The sequence below is a fragment of the Homo sapiens genome, chromosome 15 (assembly GCF_000001405.40).
Source record: "Homo sapiens chromosome 15, GRCh38.p14 Primary Assembly".
Classification (NCBI taxonomy): Eukaryota; Metazoa; Chordata; class Mammalia; order Primates; family Hominidae; genus Homo; species Homo sapiens.
In genome coordinates, this window is record NC_000015.10 from 70,596,268 (window position 1) to 70,603,583 (window position 7,316).

General features: G+C 45.5%; 1 annotated feature.

Annotated features, from left to right (window-relative positions):
* Window positions 6,422-6,922: an enhancer, noted in NCBI's record as "H3K4me1 hESC enhancer chr15:70895028-70895528 (GRCh37/hg19 assembly coordinates)". NCBI's record gives its function as "activates a minimal SCP1, AML or CMV promoter by ChIP-STARR-seq in primed H9 embryonic stem cells {active_cell/tissue: H9 hESC(primed)}" and the evidence as "EXISTENCE:reporter gene assay evidence [ECO:0000049][PMID:30033119]".

Sequence of the window (7,316 nt, forward strand, 5' to 3'; positions counted from 1 at the left end):
CTTTTATCTTGTCTTTGAGGAGCCCAGGAACTGCACTAAAATTGCAGAAATAACAAAGTTCTTCAGAACATCTTGTAATAGTGATCATGATAGCTAACTTTTAGTGGGCACTTCTGAATGCCAGGCATTATGCTAAATGTTTTGTGTGCATTATCCCATTTCATCACCACAACTGCACTATGAGGTAACACAATTATTATACCCATTTAAAATATAAAGAAACTGAAGTACAAGTGGTTACATAAATCACCCAATGTCACCAGCCAGGCAGGGCTGAAGTTTGAACCTCAGTCTGTCTGACTCAGAACCAGAGCTCTTAAACACTGGCTAAACTGTATGAGTAATGGCTCTTTGGCCACAATGATCAACAACTCACAAAGTGGGTGAGACTAGTATGGGGGGGAGGGGTGGCTGCAATGGAGCCAAAAGCCCATTGATCCCAGAGCACCTTCAGCCTTCAGAAGTCTTTAAAACTAGAGATGTATTCTTTTAGAGTAAGGCATTGTGTCTTCAACCTTTTACTTCCAGAATTGGCAGCACAGAATGATTATTAAAGGAAGACAGAAAAAAGACTATTAGGTATGTGCCTTTGCTATGTACCAGATACTGAGCCAGGTGCCTCTACATCAACCCTGTGAAAAGAATATTCTTACCACATTTTGCAGATGGAACAATTGCAGCTCTCAGAAGTTAAATGTCTTACGATGAGTGGGCCCAAGATTCAGATCCAGAACTTATTTTAAGCCCATGGTCTGTCTTCTACACAATACCGAAGATATTGAGGCAAAGGAATGAGATGTTAGCCACAAAGGTATGAGGATGAAAAGAGAATCAGAGAGACCAGGCAACCATCAATTAGGGGTTTGAGGTCAGCCATTGCCCCCAGACTACATATTGACAAGGAAAGGAAGGACACTTTTGCTAAGGACTGATCTTCCCCAGAGGAACTGCTTGGCTGGAGCCTGTTCAGCCTTGGTGTCCCTGGGAGAGGAGAGAGGCAGTCCTGCCCACAAAAGCAAGTGGGTGCTCTCTGGGACACCCACAGGTGCCCTCAGCCTCAACGGGATATCCAGGTGGTGTCAAGCGCTCCCAGGGAAGCATGGATTCTGTCCTCACTCTCAAGTCACTCGTAGTCCATGAGCAGCTGGACAGAGGCCAGGAAAGGCATCTACAGGGGCAGGAATCTGCAGAGATTCAGCACATACCATTCAAGGGCTGGACAGGCAGCAGTCGGATGCTGTTTGGCACAGCTGAGACAAAAGCTTCACGGAAAAGGGCCATTTCATTGTAGTTTAAATTATTTTTTATTTTAATATGCAAGGAAGAATACAGAATGGGACCAGGCACGGTGGCTCATGCCTGTAATTCCAGCACTTTGGGAGCCCAGGCTGGCAGATCACTTGAGGTCAGGAGTTTAAGACTAGCCTGGCCAACACAGTGAAACCTGTCTCTACTAAAAATACAAAAATTAGCCCAGCATGGTGGTGGTCGCCTGTAATCCCAGCTACTCAGGAGGCTGAGGCATGAGAATCACTTGAACCCAGGAGGCAGAGATCACAGTGAGCCAAGATTGCGCCATTGCACTCCAGCCTGGGTGACAGAGCAAGACCCTGTCTCATAAAAAAAGAAAAAAGAAAGAATACAGAATGGGAGGAATGACTACTCTGACAAATGGTAACAAAAATAATGCTAACCTTTAAAGAGCCAGTGTGCGCCAGGCATGATGGTAAGCATTTTACATGAAGAGGATATTCCACATTTTGAAATCCCTACAGCCAGTGCTTAGAGCTGATATGAAGGAGAGACCAGATTACATGGTAATTTCTAAAGCCTGAATTTTAATTCCAGCTGCAGCATTAATAACTGTGTGACATCAGGCAAGTAACTTAACCTCTCTTGGCCTCAGTTTCCGCATCTGTAAAATGGGTTTATACTATATCTGCCTCTCTCGGTTATTTTAAAGATTAAATAATTCATGTGTAGAATTTCCACAAATCAAGCATTACAAAAAATACTTGTTATTGGTAATATTGGTTATAATAGTAATTAATATTACAATAACTTTTATATCTAGGAATCTGTGTCGACAAATTTGGGCAAAAAGGAAATATTTTATTTACCAGCCTGGGTGGAAGATTACTGTGCCTATTTTCCATAATTTAGCTTAAATGCTAAGTCTATACACCCTCTTCCCTTCTGCCAAGCTGGAAGATGTTTTAACCCCAGCCATTACTGGGGTCTCACTTCCTCCTCCCATGGGGCCTGAGGCACTGGGCATGGTGGGAGGAGGCTCTGGTCATCTGCCCACATAGACTTCCTCTGAGATGTATCTAGAAGCCTTCGCTGCTAGGACCCGCAAGGTTGGAACTCCCTAGCATCCCATGTACCCTGAAGTCAATCCTCCCCAGGGTGCGACACTGCCCAGAAGTAGGCCTGGCTAGGACACAAGAGCCTTTCTCATAACCAGCCTCCAATGCCAAGGAATTCTTCCCAGCCTCTTCTCCTGAGACACCAACTTGACTCTCAACCTCCCTTCCTTTCACCTCCCCCTCAGGCCCTCTGACCTTCTGCAGACTTGGCTTTGCATAGCAGAAGCCTTATAGAGATTTCTTTTTCCCACCTGGCCACGTAGCTCCCAGGAGGCATTGAAGTGCACAGTTACCTCCCTGCTTGACTGGGGGACAGGAAAGAGGGAAACCCAGCCAGGTACTGACACCATCTTCCCTCCTGTGGCCTCACCTGTTTGCAGAGCCTTTCTTCAGCTCCAGCTTGGCGGCTCCTCAGAATCAGCATTTCCAAGCTCAGCCTCATGATCACCCTAAAGCATTTTCCTCTTTAGACCCTATGGCTGCCATGCACCCTTGCCCAGCAGATAGAGATGCCGGCCACCTGAGAAGAAAATGATTAGAGTAGCCTTTCCCTGCAGGAAAGAGTAGGATTAGAGTAGCTCCCCAGCCACCCGCTAGGCTCAGGCCTCCCACTGCAGCCCTGGCCAGTCATGTTCAGCCCCTGATCTTTCTGCTTCCATGTGCCGCTTCTCACTTCCACCCACAGACCCTACCAAATTGTCCTACATTGGCTCTTAGCATTGAGTCTTCCTAGTCCACAGACTTCACCTGGTTCCTCAGCTACCTACTGAAGACCCAAAACTGATTCTAAAGTTTATATGGAGAAGCAAAAGACTGAACAGCTATACAGTATTGGAGGAGAGCAAAAGTGAGAGAACTTAAACTTACTGACTTCAATTCTTACTATAAAGCTACAGTAATTGCAGTAGTGTGGTATTGATGAAATAACAGACAAACAGATCAATGGGACAAAATAGAAAAATAGATCCACATAAATACAGTCAACTGATCTTTGACAAAGGAGCAAAGAAGCTATACAATCAAGAAAATATGTCTTTACAACAAATTGTGTTGGAACAACTGGGTATCCACATGCAGAAATATGAATGTAGACACAGAGCTTCCATCCCTAAGAAAAATTAACTCAAAGTAGATCATAGACCCAAATGTAAGGTGCAAAGTTGTAAAACTCTCAGGAGATAACACAGGAAAAAATCCAGATAACCTTGGGTTTCATGATGACTTTTTAGTTATAATACCAAAGGCACAATCCATGAAAGAAATAATTGATGAGCTGGGCTTCATTAAAATTTCTGCTCTGCCAAAGAAGACACAGTCAAGAGAACAAGGAAACCAGCCACAAACTGGGAGAAAATATTTGCAAAGGACAGATCTGATAAAATACTGTTATCTAAAATACACAAAGAAATCTTAAAACTCAACAATCAGAAAATGAACAATCCAGTTAAAAACTAGGCAAAAGAGCTGAACAGACACTTTGCCAAAAAAGACATACAGATGAAAAACAAGCAAATGAAAAGATGTTCATATCATATGTCATTAGGGAATTGCAAATTAAAACAACAGTGAGATGCCACTACACATGTATTAGAATGGCAAAAATCTGCAACACTGACACCACTGAATGCTGATGAGGATATGGAGCAACAGGAACTCCCATTCATTGCTGGTTGGAATGCAAATTAGTAAAGCCACTTTGGAATACTGTTGCAGTTTCTTATAAAACTAAACATACCCTTACTATATGATCCATCAGTCGTAGTCCTTGGCATTTATTCAAATGAATTGAAATTTTATGTGCACATGAAAACACAGATGTTTATAGCAGCTTTATTCATAATTGTCAAAACTCTTAGAAGCAACCAAGATGTCCTTCAGTAGGTGAATGGATAAATAAACTGGCACATCCAGACAATGGACTATAATTTAGTGCTTTAAAAAGTGAACTTTTTACTTGAAAAGTACATGGAGTGGCCTTAAGTTCATACACACACACACACACACACACACACACACACACACATATATATATATATTTTCGAGATGGAGTTTTGCTCTTGTCACCCAGCCTGGAGTGCAGTGGCACAATCTCGGCTCACTGCAACCTCCACCTCCTAGGTTCAAGTAATTCTCCTGCCTCAGCCTTCTAAGTAGCTGGGATTACAGGTGCCCACCACCACGCCCAGCTAATTTTTGTATTTTTAGTAGAGACGAGGTTTCACCATGTTAGCCACACTGGTCTCAAACTCCTGACCTCAGGTGATCCATGCACCTCGGCCTCCCAAACTGCTGGGATTAGAGGCGTGAGCCACCACCCCCAGCCTAGTGCATGTTACTAAGTGAGAAAAGTCAATCTGAAAAGGCTACAGACTGCATGATTTTATAGATGACATTCTGGAGAAGGCAAAACCATGGAGACAGTAAAATGATCAGTGGTTGTTAGGAGGGTAAGAAGGGAAGGAAGGATGACTAGACAGAGCACGAAGGATTTTGAGGATGGTGAACTATCCTATATGATGCTATAATGGTGGATACATGTCATTATCTATTTGTCAAACCCCAGAGAATGTACAGCACCAAGAATGAGCCCTGATGTAAACTATGGACTTTGGGTGAAAATGGCATGTCACTGTAGGTTCATAGATTATAACAGAGATCTCTGTAGTGGGGGATGTTTTTAGTTGGGGGGCTGTACATGTGTGGGGGTGGAGGTTATCTGGGAACTCTCTGTACTCTCAATTTTTTTTTTTTTGTGAACCTTAAACTACTCTAAAAAAGAAACTACTCTATTACAAAGAAAGAAAAGAAAAGAAAGTGACAGGCCCAGATCAGGTAGCAGTTAACTCAAGGTTCCCCGTGAAAGCCAGAGGGTCTCTGTGGTGCATTTCAGATCTCATGGCTCTTACCCACAGGCACCCCTGGGATAACCCTCAGGCCCAGGATCTAATGGTAAAGGTGGCAATGCTGTTAAGAGGACAAGTCTCCCATGTCAATATCAGAGGCTTCACAGGAAAAGAGTGGGACCCTGAGGCCTGGAATGGGGATATTTGGGTAAACAAGACTGAGAATTTGGAACCCCAGATAGCTTGAAACACCAAGGCTGGAAGAAGCTCCCTCCCCTTTGTTAGAGAAGAGTGGCCTCCTGCTGCATGGAGACCATGCAGAAACCTCACCTGACTCAGGTTCCTTGCCAAATGATGCTTGACCTCAAGATCTTCCCCCACCATCAATTGCTGCCTTAGGCCAATAACCAGGGTCAGGATACCACACAGTCCAAGCAGAGAAACACAGCCTCACATGGGAACACATGTGAGGGCGGATCTTGGGAGTTTAGGCTCAGTGTGGTTGGCTAAAGATAAGGCTGAATGTCTTTTATATTGACTGATGAGGGAGCACGTCATAACTCAGGGCTCAGTGTCTTGACAAGGACTCTGGAGCCAATCCTAAGATACTACTGATGGCTTCTTCAGGCCTGGAATCAAGGAAGGACCCCTGCGTGGGAAGTCAGCACCCAGCTGCCTTGGCCCTCAGCCTATTTCCTTTCCCCATGAGACCCCACTTCCCTACTCCTCAGCCCCTGCCCCTCTGGACAGGGCCACCTCCAGCCACTGTCCCCAGGTGGGATGCCAGACTCTAGCCAACTCGGCCTCTAGGGCTGCAGGGCTGGGCCATCCAGAGGACCTCCCTGCTTGAAGGGGTACAAAGCCCCTCCCTCAGAATAGACCTCCAGGTTCAGTATTTGAGCACCCTTGCCCCACTATAGCTCAGAGCTCCACCCTCTGTCCCCTTCTCCCATTGAAGACCCTCAGCCAGACGGACCTCTGCTGCCCCTGTTCCTCCCAAATACCCCAAAGGACCCACTGCCACCTCCTTGAGTGCTAATCAGCCCTCCAAACCCACCCGACAATCAGAGACATGTCTCGTGGAGCCCAGTCAGCTGTGGGTTGGCCTGGAGTCTTGTTTGGACTTATAGTTTTCAAAAGGTTGTCAGATGTAAGTTGTTCACTATTCCTTAGTACACAGCACACGCTCATGGGCCCATGCAAGGCCGCTCTATCTGGTATTTCTCTTCACATTCTTTTTTTTCTTTTTGCCCCATAACCCTGATACTAGCACCTTTTCTGCTCCTCAGCCCTTGTTTTGGGCCAGCACTCTAGTAGTTTTGCTATAAGTCTTCAAATTTGCATGCATGCAACCTGGTAAAATGAGCTTTATACGTGTGTGTTTTTAAATTACATAAATAGCATACTAGAAAAAAAAAACTCTGTGGTCTAGGAGGTGGAGATGCTGGGATGTTTGGCGTAACACTGAGAAAGGAATAGCATTCTCAGGAGGGTGGGAATGGCAGAATGGACTTGTTATGTGAAAGCACAGAGCTCACTTTGTTTCCTCTAAGCAACCAGAGCCCATGCCCCCTGTAAGGCAATAACAATGGCACAGGACAGGGGGCCGCCAGCACCCTTTAGGAGTTCAGTGGTGGTGGCTGTTTTTTCTGGGACAGGACAGGGTTGAGGGTCGCAGATGCTGCCGTGGACCTGGGGGGCCCAGAATCCTAGGTGGGGGCGATAGGATTCCAGACAGGCTGATGCTGAGGAGAGCATTTACTCAGCAGCAGGAAGTGAACAGAATGACTGTAACAGGCAGCAAGGCTGGAGTGGCAATCAGGCCGCCCCGACCTGCGGCAATCTTGGTGATTGCCAACTGATCGTGCTGTTCTTCTGAGGGGCACAAGAGTGCTATCTGACTTATATAACAACAACTACAACAAAAACCATAGAGAGCTGGCAAGCAGAAGCTGCCATCAGCTGCCCCAGTAGAGTACAATGGCTCTGTACACAGCTTCCAGATCTAAGTCAGTTTACAGACACGGGACCCACCACTTGAAGGGGAGGCCAGATCCCCTCGAGGAAGGACCCTGTAATGCCATCACAAGTATATGTGATAAAT